The sequence below is a fragment of the Homo sapiens genome, chromosome 14 (assembly GCF_000001405.40).
Source record: "Homo sapiens chromosome 14, GRCh38.p14 Primary Assembly".
NCBI lineage: Eukaryota > Metazoa > Chordata > Mammalia > Primates > Hominidae > Homo > Homo sapiens.
The window spans coordinates 63,031,962-63,048,988 of record NC_000014.9 but is presented as its reverse complement, the minus strand read 5'-3'; the positions used below and the strand labels follow the sequence as shown (position 1 = coordinate 63,048,988).

Here is a 17,027-nt window from a genome sequence, read left to right as displayed (position 1 = left end):
TACATCAGTTTTCTAAGCCTTCTCGTTTATATTGGTTTCGGTTAGACTAGAACACACCTGCAGTTCACTCAGCCAGCTTCCATTCTGCTGTGATTTAGGAGTCAGTGAACACTTCTGGGGATTGGAATTCTTGGTTATCACAGACAAGGTCTAATTACCATACCTGGAGGGACAGAAGAAAAGAACAAATGATTCTGTTTTAAAATGGACTTTTGACAATATAACAAAACGAAGCTTTGTCTTTGTGTGACATTGAAGCTTTCTAATTCCTATCTCTCTCATCTGTTAAATCTTGAGGTTTGTTCCCCACATACGGAGTCTGTAACACACTTTTAAAATGCTGTATTAGCACCTTGTTGCAACTGGCCAGCATATTCCTTAGGGCCAGTCAATCTATATGATGCTGCTACTCTATTTTCCTTGACTCTATTTTGATTGGGAACAGTTGCAAGTTGTTGCCAAGGGTTTCTCTTCTTTCATGGGCTGCAAAATCATCGATGGCAATAGAGATCCTTGATGTTGCTGGTTGTTACCACACTAGCCTAAGATTAGGTTATTTTCTATTATTTACAAGGAGCTCTGGCTACAGGGTCAGGAGACCTGATTTTAGTCTCAGTGCAGACTGTTCTAAAGCACTGTGTCATCTGGGACAGGATATTTCATCTCTCTGGGTCTTGGTTTCTTCCTTTATAAAATGAAAATTTAAACTAGAAGATTAAGAAAAGTGTGTAACCTTTTGACACTACACAGCTACATTTTTTATGATCATTAAAATAATCCAAACGTTATAATGCTATGGAGTTATTAGAAACAAAGAAGAAAGGATAAATGTCATTTAATTGAATCTGCAGATGGGAATAAGAAAGTTCTACCAGTAATTTTGTGATTGTGTCTTAATGGAGTCCAAAAGAATTTCCTCTTTGGGAAATGTGAGTTAATACACCCACAGAGGAATGATTAGGAACAAGAATATATATACTAGATGGGAAATGCTGAGAACCTGAGATTTTAAATCAATACCCATAGGCGAGATGTGGGCAGCTGACGATGTGCAAAAGAACATATAGATTTGAAATATTCTCTGTTAATGATGATGGAATTATTATAGCATGCTAGAAGTCTAGAATAGCAATCAATGAATTATACATGTTTAAAAAATAAGTCTGTCTATTCACCAACCCAGCCAATGAATGACTGATTAGTTTAGGATCATTTGAACACAGGTCACAAAAGAATCGCTAGAGTGGGAAATTCAATTATGTGTTTAAGGCTGCTGTGGTGATGGTGGTTTCAGTTCTTCCCACCAACTGCAGGGAGGGAGTTGTAACCTGGCCGTATCTCTTGAGTGCTGCTGTGGCAAGCTCACTACGGATCCAATCTGCACCTGAGTCTCTTGTTATTTAACTAAACACACCTGATGTATTTAAAAGACATTTTAACTGTAAGGGGATAAGCTCCATGGCCAGCAGCACTTCCTGTGGAAAGCTAGAATAGCCTAGTGTTATTCCACCGAGTCTCTTGATTTTTTTTTTTTTTTTTTTGCATAAAGATTTTTAGCGGAATAAAATTGCCTCGTGTCAACCTTCTGGGTTTGCTCAGCTGCCTGGTCTCTGAAAATTTCAGAGAGGGAAAAAATGACCCCAAGGTAAAGGCTGGATCCTGGTTTTGCATTTAGCTGCTTCAAGCAGTAGGCTTACCCAGTTGGGGAGAGGAGAGAAAGGGAGAGAGAGGTGGGGGGAGAGAGAGAGGTGGGAAGAGAGAGAAAGGGGAGAGAGAAGGGGAGAGAGAGAGGGAGGGGAGGGGAGGGGAGGGGAGGGGAGGGGAGGCAAGGAGGGAGAGAGAGAGAGACAGAGACAGACAGAGAGAGAGAGATCCTGTCTTGAGGTCAGTGATTAGTAATCTAGGGGGTTCCAAAAGGGGACAGGTGCTGAGATGTGTACTTCCACCCCTGCCTGGGGATTCTCCCTGCTTCTGGTAATCTGACCTTGATAATTTCTAACGCAATTACCTCTCCTCTAGCACATTCTGACCCCAGCAAAAGGGGACGCACCCATCCAACTATCTTTTCGCCTTCAACACTGAAGACTTCGCTCTACCACCAACCGCTGACGCCGCGGCAGTGCACTTTTGGTCCCCCACTCTTTGACCCTGTTTGCACAATCGTCCTTTCTCGACAGGCCCAGGTGCAGCCCCCAGAGAAAAGAGGAAGCCTTACATGTATCATATTTACCTGGAGGGCTTGTTTAAACAGATGAGTCAACCCAATCCTCAGAGTTCCTGGTTCCCTAACTCTGGGGTAGAATCCACTAATTTGCATTATAAACAAGTTCTTAGGTGGTGCAGATGCGGATGCTGCCCGTCCAGGCCACTTTGAGAACCACTGCCTTAGATCAAGGAAGGTGCCTCAGTGCGGGCTCCTCTTTCCTTTCCATCTCTCTCCACCCCTTTCGCATTTATGCCATTTTCCTTTCTCTGTGACACATTCAGGCTTTTGGACTGTTTGTAACGGTGCCGCTGCTGTCCGTTCTCAACGCCTGGAAATTGGGGGGTTTGTTAGAGGTGATTCGTGCCCTGCTCCACCCTGGCGCATCTTCGCCCCCACAGCCTTTACCGTTTTTCCATCGCTAACACTGCCCTCCTCACTCCCCCTCTCTCGGGTGTGAATTATTCACCCTCTTCCCCTACTCTTCACATCAAGTGCAACCTTTCCCGCAACTTTGCAGCGGTGGCGGGCTCGCGGATCGCCTCCTGCGCTCAGCGGTCCTGGGGGAAACTCCCCTGGGCGGCCGCACGCTCCCCCAGACGCCAAGCCCGGCCCGGGTCGCAGGGGCCATTCCGGGCGCCGGCTGTGCGCTCGGACTTCAGGGCTCGCGCTCCCGCTCCGGGGTGGGGTAAGGGCGGTGCGGAAAGCGCCAGTGTTCAGGAAGGTTTCAGGCGCCGGAGCCCGGAGGGGGGCGGTAGCAGCGTCAGGTGGCTGCTCTGCGTCCCCGCGCGCCGCCCAGCCAGTCCCTGCCCTGCTCTCAGCCTCGGCTGGGGCTGGAGCTGGAGCCTGCCCGCACCTCCGCCCCGGGAGCCGCGTCCGCGCCAGCAGCCCGGATTCGGGACCCGAGCGGGAGACGCCGAGATGTGAGCCTCCGACTGGCCACTGCTCTCTCTGGCACCCTCTTCTCCCATTCCACCGGCCCGATTGGACAGCGATCGCTTGCCTCGATCTCCGGGGAGAGGAGCAACCACCAGGCGCACAGCCCAGAAGTTGGGCTACGCTGTTCAGCCCGGAGCTCGCTGCGCGAGGGGGTGGACGAGGAGACCGGGAGACGAAGGCGCGGGGAAGGGGTCTCGGTCTGAGCTGAGGGGGATTGGGAGGGTGGGGGCTTGAGTTCCCGCTTGCGCTCCCCAGCAGGGGGAGAGATGCAGAGCCCGCGCCCAGGCGCCGGCCGCCGCGGTAGCAGCCTCAGCAGCAGCCTCAGCATCAGCACCGGCGGGACAGCGACAGCGGGGGCGGCGCAGGCGCACTGTGCCCCGCGGAGCCTGCAGTTCCCGAGCCCCGTGTGCGGCACCGCCACAGTCTGGGCAGCGGCGGCCGGGGGAGCGCTACTACCATGAACTGCCTGGTCCTCCTCCCCAGAGCTGCTCATCCGGGTCGGGCTGGAGACACAGTCAGGGGACCCCGTCGCCGCCGCCGCGCCCCCTCTTCTTTCGGCTCAATCTTCTCTTCCACCTTTTCCTCCTCTTCCTCCACCTTCTTTGCCTGCATCCCCCCCTCCCCCGCCGCGGATCCTGGCCGCTGCTCTCCAGACCCAGGATGCCGGGGGGCAAGAGAGGGCTGGTGGCACCGCAGAACACATTTTTGGAGAACATCGTCAGGCGCTCCAGTGGTAAGGAGAGTTGTAGTTCAGAACACCCCCACCTCCATCCCGCCCACACGCGCCCCCCATCCTCCCCATCCCATCCCTCTCCCAAGGGGGGAGGAGGATGCAGGCAGCCTTACCTGGTGGTTTCATTTACCAGTTGGGCTGGATTTGGGGTGGGGTGGGGTGGCAATGAGATGGTGGGGGAAAGTTAGTTGCATCCCCTTCCTACCAGACAGACTCACCCCCTCCCACCTGTCCAGAGCCCAGAACTGGAGGAAAGAAAGGGGTTGGATAGGGTGTAGGTACATCTGGAACATAGAGTTGAGTTTTGCTTTTATCTTTCTTGTTCTTCCTTCTCCCACATTTTTCCCCAAAGTGAGCAGCAGGGACTGACCAAATTCTGAGTTAATCTCAGTGGAAAGGTTTCCCTCAAGTTGGGAATGGCTGCGAAAGTGGCTACTTAACAAGATTTAAATCTCTGGAAAGGCTTTTGGCCCTCGTGGTCACGGGGAAAGGTGCTTTGTGCCGGGGAGAGTAGTTGAGGTTGAACCTAAGAAAGAGTTCAGTGCTTGCAAAATGGGAAGCCAATTACTGTGGACAAATTGGTGCTTCAAGTTTCTTCTTGCTATGTTTTTCACTGTACATTCATCTATATATTTCGTTTGACTTAAACATGAGAAACGTAGAAGTGAAGCAGTAACTATTGTGCTTTTAATGCAACTAGAAAAAAATCAAAAAGATGCCATCCTACCTTGCTACTGGCGTTAAAGTTTTCTTGCCTTAGTGTGTCTTTAAAATACCATCCATTTATACATTCATTTCCTACAAGATATTTTGGATGGGAATGGTTATATATTTCCACATTTTAAGACCTTATAAACTTTGCATCTTACTGAAATCTGCGTTTTCTACTTGTTTTTAATTCTTTTGTATAATTTTAAACTTCATAAGTAAGATATGTTGAATATCTTTTTAAGTTTTTCCTTCAGAGGCTGTTATTTTGACATCTCTTGCTTGGAGAATAATGAGAAAGACATTTCTGTATATGGAGTACAGTAGAGCTTGGAACAAAGCAATGGAAATACTCTATGCAGTTCCATAGTGCCTTGTTTATTCATTCATTGAAACAATATTTATTTGGGTGCCTTATACCACAGATACTCTGTGGTTTCTTGGGATTAAAAAAAAGTAATTAATACACATCCCCTCTTCTTAAGAGGCTCCTTGCCTAGTTGGAGGCACAGGGAAAGACAGAGGTACACTGAAATATCAAATAATTAAATAAATAATGCTTTCCCTAAATGGTAGATTAGATTATACTAATTCTTAGATTAGAATCTCTTTTAAGACTAGGCTTGTAAATATTTCCTCTGATTTTGAGACTAACTGTATTTAAGTGTTTCAAAGTATTTTCCCCAAATATCTGACTTGTTATTTGTTTTTAATTTGAGGTTTTAAACTTTATTTCTTCGTTTTGGCCAATGCCTGAAACAATAAAAGTCTAAAGCAGTAGTGTTGTATTTGGGTCGGAAAAAATAGCGAATAGGGTCTGGCCTAATATTCTTTTAAATACCTGTATATTTTTTAGTTATATAAATTCATAATGGTAGGCAATTTTTATTCTTATAGATTACCTTCTTGTATTAAGATTATACTAAACCTATAATACAAGGGGATATTACTCTTAAAACAGTTTGGGGAAAATGTGTGGATTATTGGAATTAGTTAAGTATACAAGTCTTCTTTCAGCTTTCTCATCCTCTTGGGTTATTTCAACTTCACGCAATTTGGTCTATGAGAGAACTTTTCAGAGAAGGCCTTAAAACATAAAATCTGCAGGGTTACGATTGCTCTGCTTTATAAAGAGAAAGAACATGAGAATCCCTTGACTAAACTTTATTAATATAGCAACTGTGGTTGAAGCTTCTTATGCAGACTATGAAACTATGAGATAGTTTTTTGAATTTTTAAAAATTGTAGATATACTATGAAATAAAGATTTACCTTAGGTGGCTTAGAAATGTCTGTTTCTGTTGCCTCCATTTTGTATCTACCACTCAAATTAATGAGTATTTTATCTTTTTTACACTTCATGTTCATAATCGTTTCATTGGTTAAATGTTTCTTTCCTGGACAATACCAAGTGAAAATGAAAATTTATCTGTTTTGGCACTTAAATGCCACCTCTAATCGCCTATGGCTAACTTTGAATACCACTACTCAAAGACCCTGAACTGTTTGAAGTGTGTTAGATAGTTGTAGTGAGTATATATGCAGGTGTGTGTGATAAATACTGAAAAGTCTCAGTACCTCTTTTATAGGCAGAACCTCAGAAATTGAGAATTATGGTATTAAATTGGTCTACACATTCACGGGGGAATATCCCGCAGTTGTCATTTCTATATGATTTGGCAGAGAAATAGAAAAATTTATCCTGAGAAATTGTTTAATTGAGACTAATAGAAAATTCCCTTCAGGATTCTCACAGATGGATCAGGTTTGTCACTTTGAAGGTTTCATTATTCACTAACTTAACAACATTGAAAGTGAAGTGTTGGCAGAGGTTTAGCAGGAAGAGAAAGAATAGCACCCAGCACTCCCAATCTATTTAACAATTGAAGAAACAGAGGCTGGCCTTGTCTTTTTACCTGAACCCCAAGAAAAGCTCTTTCTGATACAATACCATTTTCTTCTTATGAAAAGGTCAGATCTTACAGTGAGAGTCAGCCAAACATAGACATAGATATAGAGAGATACCCAGATAATACACAGTCACATAGGTAAACACTCAGCTGGTCAGGCATCCACCCAGAAAACTGAAAAGAGGAATATCCTACTTCTTCTTTTTTAGGATTTGTCTGTAAAGTGTGTCCACCACCCTACAGACAGAGAGGAAGCAATCTAACTCTTTTTCTCTGTCTTGCACACAAGGAGCAAAACAGAGATGTAGGAAACAAAACAAAACAAAACACACAGAGCAGAGAGAAAGGGGTGGGGTGGGAGAGAGAGAGAGAGAGATTATGGGACATGCAAGGGAAATGGACACAAAGAGAAAATGTCAGACATTTATTTGTCCATGGGTATCACCAATGAACTGAAATCTCAGCCAGTTACAAATTTACCAGAACATTTTTTTGATGATGTGAAACAAAAAAGCAAGAAGTGTGGCATATTTGAATATCAATTTTATACCTGAGGATTTCTTAATAAAGTTCCAAACTCCTCAGATGCAGTTTCCCAGAATACCAGCACTGTATTCTGTACTCCAGAGTGGCAACTATAACCTATGCTATTATTTCACACCTCTTGAGACTGGATTTTTATTTTCCTTATTTAGTTGACTCAGTCTGTTATAAGCGAGCATTGCAAGTTGTTACTGGTGATTCAAAGTCTATAAAATAAAATAATGAGGGCCATTGAGTAGGATGGATACACACACCCTTTATAGCCAAATCTCAAAAGAAGCAAGGAATTCTTTTTAGTTTAAAGATAAAAGATAAGATCATTTCTAGACAAAAGGAATTATAATAATTCTTAGCATGTGATTCTAGTAAATATAGAGAACATTATTACTCTAAGAAGTTGTAAAGTTTAAAGTATAAATGCTATAGGACGGCTTAGACAAACTTTTGGCTAGTACGATCAAAATAAGCCATTAGTAAGGGAAGGTTTAGAGGACTATGTGGTGAGTTCATTACAGCTGAGCAATGTCTCCCAGAAGGCCCCTGCCTCAAGGGCTTACAGACTAGATTTGTGTCTAGAACATTATTAGGATACCTTCCTTTATTTAAATTTCAATTATTTATGCAAACTATTAATCTAAATTGGGCTCTAGGGAGCAATAAACTTGTGGGTAGAGGTTAAGTATCTGGAAGAAAGTAACTGTTTTTAGGACTTTTAGGTTAAAATTTAGATTCAAAAGACAAAAAATATTTCAAAGACCTTCAACCTGATTTTGTCTTTGGGCAGCACATTTTACTCATATGTTGTCTTCAATTCCTTAGCAAATAGGCAGACATGATTAGTTTGAGTGACAGTAAGCTAGGTTGCTATTTTGAAAATTTTAACTACAAATTAATACCTTTTAACTAGAAATTATTATTATTTAATATTTTAAGCTTTATGACAAATTGGAAGTTTATTTTAGTTTTGTGGAAAACTAGAAGTGTTTTTCTTTTTGGGGAAAAAAGGGGTTCAGGAAAGAAGAAAACAGAGAAGGTAGTATTTTATGAACCACTTACCTTTCAAGAGAAGAAACTCAGTATCCTCAATTTTTCATTCTGCTTGAGATAGCTGGTTGCACAAGCACTTTTTTTACTCAGCTATCTCTTACTTGTAGAAAAGTCCAAAATTATTTTCATGCTGAATTGACATTTGTACAAACTGAGGTCTTAAAAGAAACCTATAAGAGAGGAAGCAGAACTAGTGATCTGTAAACAAAACAAAAAAGGAATAATAACTTTTACAATTAGCCAATTTAAAAGAAATAATGGAAAACAAATGGACATTATTTTGGTTGTTGTTGTTATAAAGTTATTGACATTTTTTCTTGAAAGGTTTTCTTTAATATCTAAGACACTATTCAGGAAATACTGATAAAACCACACAGTGTTTTTGAAGCACTGGTTTACTCAGGTCTTATAATGTACCACTTTAACATTTAAAATATCAAAGAGGTTGAAATTATACTGACCACTTCCTAAATTATATTTATACATAAGCCACAAGATTGTCCCTTGCATTAGATTCCCACACTGTGTTATATAATGAATGCAGCACATTGCTGATAGAGGGATGCTTATTCTAAGATACTGTTATCTTCACTAGAAATTGCCCTCTTTGTTTATCTTTTGCTTGATTCCAGAAGTAGGATGTGTAAGACATCCATCTACCTAGGCACCTTGTAACTGACTTACTAAAAGGATCATATAAACATTATTTTTAATAGAAGGGCGTAGTTATGATTATTTTAATTGATAGCGACTGAGTAGATTTCCTAAAGAAGCCCTTTAGTTTAGTCAGTGTTTATCTTTTTCTTTCCTTGTGAGTCACAGCCGAGTTTCTTAGCTTGGAGGAACAATGCTTCTGCATTCTCCAGAGTGTAGCCTAGGAAAAGGTTGTGCTGTTCACCAAAGTACTGTAGTTAGTATTTACCACAAGAGGTCACTCTGGGTTCTGTCACAGGTGAACCAAGTAGTTAATATTTTTCTCTTTTTCTGTTCTCCCACCTCCCCCTTCCCCCACCTTGCTTGCCACCCCCCAAATTTGACTGGGAGGGAGTCAATGTAGTTAGTTGGTGCTCTTGGAAGAAAATATCTAAAATGTAAGACATGCAGGAAAGTTAAATGAAAAAAGGTATGTATTATATTAATTATTAGAATTTATTTTAGTTGACAGTGATCAACATTTTATAACTACACGAAAGTGATACTGATAAAAATTGTTTCTGTAAAGAGATGGATTTAAATACATTTTAGACTAATAGAGCATTTTCTTTAGCAGATAAAATTTTATGGTAATACGCAATTTCAGCATTTCATATACATACAGTATATGAAATATAAAGTCTTGCAGAAAAATGACCTGTACATAATGCTTCATATTGAGCCACTTCAACAGATTTTTTCTCTATGAGACATCTTTATATAATTTATATTGAATTGGTGAAGTAGAATCAGTTCATAACAGTGCTTTAATTTTATCAAAAGATAGTTTACAGATTTATAGTTACTTCCTCAGGATGTTATGTAATCCTAGTATTTTATTTTTACCCAAATTTTAAAAATTAAATACAGAGCTAAATTGTTTAAAATTATTAAATAATATTTTCAAAGTTTTTTAAATTATTAAACTCCAAAAGACAGGATTGGGAGTAGACTGTTTTAAGAGGTTTTGTTTCCTCTTAGTCAGTAAATCTGAATTTTGGTTTAAGGCAATTCTTTTTTCTTTTTGGTGGGTTAGAAACCATATAGCAAGAGATACTTTGAAATGTTCCACACAATTTTGGTTTTAATGGGAAAAATTGAAACATGTCTTAAAGTACTTTTATAAATACAAGAGACGTGTTGTGAATCAGATAAACATGGATAACAAATCACAATCCAAAACCAGTGGCAATTATTGTTGTGGAAATTGAGGTCAAAGAAAGTAGTGTTCTAGAAAGTATTCTAGAAAATGGACATTTATGAAACAAATTCCTTTACCAATAGCAAAGCAGAATGTAAAAAAATCCTCAGCATTTTCCACTAAATAGTCTAGCTTTATAATACATGACATGAGTCCTTTTCATCATTTAAAGATAATTAAAAAGAATCATTTAAATATTCCTATTTTATATAATATAGAAACTAATATATTAGAAAGGCTGAGTCTTGAAATATATTTGATCAAATGGAGGCAGTAATAACTATTGTCACATAGATCAGTGTGTATTTTAGACATCATTTTAGTGTTTGGTTATATGTGGATACTATTACCTAGTAAAGAGACATATTTATATACATTCTAGATAGTAGTTTTGTGATATATTAGGTTGACAAAAGAAAAAAGAGGAAAATTAATGAGCACAGTAATTTAGAAAGAAAGTGTGGTTAGAAAGCTATTGGAAATTTTATTGAAAATAGATTTCCCTCTCTCTTTGGGTCTGGTCCCATTACAGAAATATAACTATTAAGTACAAAGTCATATGGATCTCAAAAGATACGCAATTTGAGATCTGAGCTTATGTGCATAATCATAACAGCTTGTAGATATAAGGACATATAATTGGGAAGTCATGAAAATTTTGGTATATGAACTAAGCTCCCTGAGGATATGGGTCATATCTTAAAAAGACTTTTATGTCCTCCACTGTGCAGAGCACATAGCAGTAAGTATTCGTTGAATAAATGCTTTTTTGATTTTTGTCTCCTAAAGTAACCAAGACCATAATTAATTCTTTCCCCAAGCCAATGCTGATTAAATCTATTAAGTGAGCTTGAATAAGTAATTACATAGTTTAAACTATTTAGTTAATCAATGCATATATCTGAAAACAGAAACCACACTGCATAGGGCAAATCAGATGGTACTTCTGAGAGGATGAGAAAGGAATATGAAATGGATCCCATGTTCACTTCCTATTCCAAATTGAGGTGCGGCTGAAATATTTTCTACCATTTTTGTTTCAGTTGTCAAGAGCTTGAAAGCTGGACTATTTAATACCAGAAAGAACTGCTTAAAAATTTGTAGATTCTAACTAAATTATTTTAACAACTTTGCAGTTAGCAGTTATTGATGGTGAGTTTTATCCCTGGGAATCAATCCTTACCTGCTTAAGTACCTTCTGAGTGAGTTTTGCCTTGGGGAGCAGCTTACAGCCCTGTGCAGTATGCAGCAGAAGAGGAAAATGAGTTTTAGATTTTTAGAGACTGCAGGGCCAGCCTCAGGTTGCCATATCTAACTAAAAATCGAACAACTCACTTGGATTGAGGGGAAAAGTTAACCTTTGTCCTGATCTTTTCTGTAAGCCCTTTTTGGTCTGCTGGCATTTATTTTTATTTTTTAAATTTGGGGGAAAATTAAAGCACAATGATTTTATTTTTATACATTTACAAGCATTGAAAAAATAGAGGAGTTCCTCAATGGGGGTTAAAGAGTCTCAGAATAAAGACTCCGAAATACAACGCTGATCCTTTTGCTTGGCTCTCATGCCCTTTCTAGTTAATTATCCATTAATGCAACACCATTTTATTGAGTACCTACTATGTGCTAGGCAGGGATCTAGCACTAGGGATTCATAATGAACACAGTGACAAAAACAATGTTTCTCCTGTTTTTCTGTGGAGGGCATGTGCATATTTATAAGTTTCTAGAGGCCTGTATTAGAGTCCTGGCTCTGACACTTACTAGCTCGGTGACTTAACTTACTTGTACCTAGTTTCCTTATCTATAAAATACAAGTAATAATAGTACCTAGTTTATGGGGTTAGAGTGAGGATTAAGTTAGGCAGTACATGTAAGTACGGAGAACGGTGCCTGGCACATAAATAAGCATTATATCATGCCAGTAGTTATTATTATCATTTAGTTGTTTAAATATTTGAATGCACTTTCTATAGTTGATGTTTTTAATTCTTAGTCACCATTTCCTTCTGCACCTCTTTTCAACTAATTTCCGCCTCCTCCATAATGCTGAAAATTCCTAGAAAATTATGAGTGCGCATTCTTCTCGTAAATCTTAAGATCTTTTCTTGGTCCATATTTTTTCTGACTTTGCAAGGTTTGAAACTATATTCCCCTACCCTCTCCACCATTCATCTTATAGCTATCATGAGCTTACAAGCCCTGCTGCCCTTTCTACTGGCTTCCCTTTTTGTTCCTCTCCTCCTCCCTCCTCTCCTTTTCCTTCCTAAAGAATGAGTTGAGTAGTCCCACAAGTTCTCCCTTCAACTTTCTTTCTTGCATCTCCATCCTACTTTTCAGGGAAAGTTTGTCTTCTGCCATAATTTAAACTTTATCTTCTCTGTGCCCCAGGTCTGTATTTCCAAAGGTATACAGGATTTCTCTTCTTGTACTACTCAAAAGTCATCTAAAACTCAGTGTAGGCAGAATAGAATTTATTTGCTTTTGGCCTCAGATTGACTTTTTTTTTTTTGTATCTCCCGTTTCTATTCAAAGTGTCTTTAGTATTTTTGTTTTTTACTCTAGAAGTGTTAGGGTCATCTTTGACTTTCCATTCAGTATAATGTTAGTCTTACTTTCCAACTAGATTATCAGTCCTTAGCTTTCTTTTGTGTCTCCTGTAAGTGCTGTGTGCAGAGTAAGTTAATTCATGCCCATTTACTATACTGACTCATCTTAAGACATGAAGCATGTTCATAACTGACATCATATACAGCCAGTGTCTCTAACTGTGATGGACCAAAGAAAGAACTACAGGTCAGAAGGAAAGAGCTGCCTCATTAACTGACCTCAGAAACTAAAGGTCTCCAAGAGGGAGGAATGACATGTGTGACATATTCCCCTTGCTCGTTCCTAAAACAGCTTCTGTCTGTACTAGAGCAAACATCATCAAGGTAACTGGTAATCTTTCTGGAACTCTATGAGGGCATTTCCAAGGCTCACAGAGCAGTGCTCTCAACTGTGCTATCAGGCACAGTGCTGGGATGGAAAGAGCAAAGGTGTTGAGTTCTTGACAACACAGACTCCTGTCTAGCCCTTACTCCTGGTGACACACTGAGGCTCTCCAGAATTAGGACACCTACCTTACAGGGTTGCTCAGAAGATTTGGTGAAGCCCCAGATGTAGTGGATCATCTCAGTAAGGACTTACTCTAGATAAGGTAAGGTAGGGGAGATTTTTTTTAACCTGAAGAAAGCAAGAAATTAAGTAGTTGAGAATTTCCCAGCAGAAACTGGTGGATCTGAGCTTAAAAGCATTTGAGTTCAATTTACTAAGGGCTTACCTTGGAGAGAATACTAAACCCAAACAAACAACACACCTCTGTCCATCCTCGCCCCAAACAAAAACCTACTGCCTAGAGCAAAAGAAGTATCAGTTCTGCTTACTTCAATACCTGATAATTCTTGGACAAACTGAGGAATAAAGCAGAAACATCAGCCTCTTCTTATAACCATCCTAGTGAAATCCTGCCAAAGGAGAAATGAATTGAATTTGTAGCTCTGTAACTCTTTCTTGAACAATTAGCTCCTGTTACATAGAGTGTAGAAATTTAAAAACATACAGGAGAAAGCCTTAGAAAATTAACTGGATTGTGAATGCATTCAGAAAAGCCTCTTTGTGTTTTTCTATCATGTGTGCAGGTTGGACCAGCTTTTTAATTGAAGTTTTTCATCATTTATCTTGCCATTAGTGTTTAATTGCCATTAAAGGGTAACTTCAAAGAAAATATATAATCTCCTCAGAAAAGATGCAGTCCATTTGCAAAAATCTTTATTTGTAGGATTTAAAATGATGCTTAAACATTAAATATATACTTTTTTCCTCTTATAAATACATCTTGACTGATTTAGCTTTTATTCCCCAAGATTATGTAACTAGCATAAGTCTTATAGCTTCAGGTATTTTAAGAAATTTCATTGCAATATAATTTAGTAAAATGTTATCATTATATCAGGGTGAAAGTTTTCTGTTGTATTATGATGTTATGCATCAAATAGGCCATTATTGCAATTATATTTTGCTTCTAATGATTCTGACCAGTTTACATTTTAGAAACTCATTTTTTCATGAACAAAACACCAACTATTAAAAGTAGAAACATTGAATTGTTAAACATTTTGTGGAGAAATCTTTTTTAATAGCAAAGTTGCTATTATTCCTACCACTAGAATTTCAGAAATATATGTTAAAGTATCTCATGCATTTTGAACCACTGTAGCTGGATGAAAAAATGAAGTTAATGCCATCAAAGAAACACAGACACTTAAAAAATGTACCTTTGATCGTGAAGGAGATAGAAAGTGGAAGCATATTTTTATCTTTCATGACACCTGAACAAGTTTGAATAAATTAACAGATATTTTTGCATATTTCAAACTCCTACAGTGATGGTCTGCTTAATGTTGCCAATATTATTGGGTAATAATTAGTGTCATTGTGGAAGGTACGAAGTATGTCTGCACATTTGCTATATTGCTAGAGGATTGTTGTAGGATACAGGTGTATTTTGTAAGAACATGAAGGAGACCAGCCTTACATTCTGTCATTGACATAGAAATGGGCAGTGCACATACAACAAATCAACATTGTGGATGTGGGCATGATTGTGCTTTTGTTTAGCCATCTGTACCAAGATTTTATTTAACCCAAATACAATTGCTATATATGCTTCAGATTTTTCCACTATTACTGTTCTATGAAACTTAAATAGATCTATAGGTATCATTCATCCAGAAGACACATTTAAAAAATAATACAGGCTGGGTGCCGTGGCTCATACCTGTAATCCCAGCACTTTGGAAGGCCGAGGCAGGCGGATCACGAGGTCAGGAGATCGAGACCAGCCTGACCAACATGGTAAAACCCCGCCTCTACTAAAATACAAAAAATTAGCCGGGTTTGGTGGTGCATGCCTGTAGTCCCAGCTACTCCGGAGGCTGAGGCAGGGGAATCACTTGAACCCAGAAGGTGGAGATTGCAGTGAACTGAGATTGCGCCACTGCACTCCAACCTGGTGACAGAGCAAGATTCTGTCTCAAAGCAAAAAACAAACAAACAAAAATAATACAGACTGCATGATTTAAATTCACAAGTTTCTAGAGGCCATTCAAAGCGGGGGAATATCTGCTTAGCAACACCCACCCCCTCCTTTTTTTTCTTTAACTTATTGCCAATTCCTTGAAAAAAAAAAATACCTGCCATGGTCCTTATCTACCTTCTTAACAATGTCTAAGAATTGCTTTATAACTATTTATTGACTGACTGTATGACTTTAAATAGGAAGCAGAATTTTTTATTTGATATATTCATAAAACATTTGTGAGTGTACAGTAATGAACAAATAGACACGGCCCCTGACCTCATGGAACTCAGAGTCTGGTAGGGGAGGCAGGCGTTCACCAAGCCTACATCAAATATATAATTACAAATTGTGGTAAGCATTTTGGATGAAAAGGGGAGGGTTTGATGATCGTGTGCATTGGGATCTAATTCCAATTGGGAGGCCTTTCTAAAGAAGTAGTGTTAAATTGATACCTACAGTGAGAGGTAACAAGAGGATAAGTGGGAAGAAGAATATTTCAGGCAAAGAGAAAGCATGTGAACATTCCTAAGGAGAAAAAGAAAATGAATGGCTAAGTTTGTGAAGCTTAAACACTAGCGCAGCTAGATTGCCTTGGGTGAAACCAGAAGAAAGACAGGAGATAAGGGCGAGTGACAGTTAGGGGCCTGGCTGTTCAGGGGAAAGATTTTGTGTTTTATTCCTAGTGCAGTGGAAAAACCTCATAGTCCCAAAAGCTACTTCCGTAAAGGTTGAGGGGAGGAGGAGAAAGAGTGGGAGACCAGTTAGGTCTGGTCTTGCGGTAGTCGACGCAAGATATGATGGTGGTCTGGCCTGGGATGGTAGTAGTGGAAATGGGGAGAAATGGATGTATCAGATATGTTTTGTTGGTAGCATTATTAGGATCTAGTAATGGATTGGATGACATGGATGAGGTGTGAAGGATGACTCCCAAGGTTTTGGCCCAAGCATTTGCGTGCAGATGGAGGTAGGGAAGATATCCTTGAGATGGGAAAAACTGGAAGAAGGCCACGCTTGGAATGAAACTCTAAAGACCATCTGCATCATCGCTGTCATCTAGCTCCCTTTTCATTCCCTTGAAGAAAAGAATAATGCAGCCAAAGACAGCTTAGCTCAATATAAGTGTGTACAGATGTGATTTCTGCATTCCATTTGCAGAGTTCAGAAAAGATCCGGGTAATTAGCTTGGACAGTCTGGTCATTCTTGTGGATTAGAAACATGTAGTTTCAGATTTTGATAAGAAACTGATTTGGATAAGAAACTAAGTAAACTTTTGAATAAAACCCAAACCCCAAACTAAACCTAACTTTATAATAAATATTTGACAATAAGCATTGTTGAAAAGGCCTCTGCAGCCAACTCCTTTTAGAAAAAGTTAGTGATTGCTACATGGTTTTAATGGGTCACTTTTGCTTCAGATTTTCCTTCATAGGCATCGATTTTTGGAATGTGTGTTCTTTGAATGGGAGCACTGTGAAGGGTGGGTCGATACTTGAAGCTGCGACTGCCTGCACTGATTCTTCCTCACTGAAGCCCCAGTGATCTGGAAGAGCAGCTTGAAATAGCCCTTATCTGGGTTTGTAGTCTTGCCTGCACTTCGTTTCTGTTGGAAGAGCTGTGTGTTCCGGGGTTTGAGGGCTTTGAGAGCGAGAGCTGTGGTTTCTGGGTGGTGTCCTTCTCCAAAGTTAGAACTACATGAATACAGTCAGAGGGAAAACGCAGCTGACTTTCTTCACATGCCGTCCTGGATCTTGGCAAATCTATAAATTAGTGAAAGTTTTTTTTTTTTTTTTGTGAAGTCCTTTTTCTTCTCAACTCCTCTCCATTTTCTTTGTTCCTCAGTACTCTAAAATTTGTGTGTCTTATTATTATTACTTAAAATACTTAAAAACTGCTAGTCCTCTGAAATATTTCTCTCTGGGGGTAATTTGCA

The 17,027-nt window shown here is 39.6% G+C and overlaps 1 protein-coding gene across 3 annotated transcripts in view, besides 2 other annotated features; it reads left to right on the top strand.

Annotated features, from left to right (window-relative positions):
* Positions 3,263 to 3,766: an enhancer, noted in NCBI's record as "H3K4me1 hESC enhancer chr14:63511941-63512444 (GRCh37/hg19 assembly coordinates)". NCBI's record gives its function as "activates a minimal SCP1, AML or CMV promoter by ChIP-STARR-seq in naive H9 embryonic stem cells {active_cell/tissue: H9 hESC(naive)}" and the evidence as "EXISTENCE:reporter gene assay evidence [ECO:0000049][PMID:30033119]".
* The window catches only part of KCNH5 (potassium voltage-gated channel subfamily H member 5), a 345,995-nt gene continuing 332,498 nt past the window's right edge, over positions 3,531 to 17,027 (top strand). For all 3 annotated transcript variants that reach the window (NM_172375.3, NM_139318.5, XM_047431275.1), the window contains exon 1: positions 3,531 to 3,875. In NM_172375.3, coding sequence (NP_758963.1) covers positions 3,803 to 3,875 — 73 coding nt within the window. In that variant the 5' untranslated portion in view covers positions 3,531 to 3,802. The remainder of the gene's footprint in view (positions 3,876 to 17,027) is intronic.
* Positions 3,767 to 4,270: an enhancer, noted in NCBI's record as "H3K4me1 hESC enhancer chr14:63511437-63511940 (GRCh37/hg19 assembly coordinates)". NCBI's record gives its function as "activates a minimal SCP1, AML or CMV promoter by ChIP-STARR-seq in naive H9 embryonic stem cells {active_cell/tissue: H9 hESC(naive)}" and the evidence as "EXISTENCE:reporter gene assay evidence [ECO:0000049][PMID:30033119]".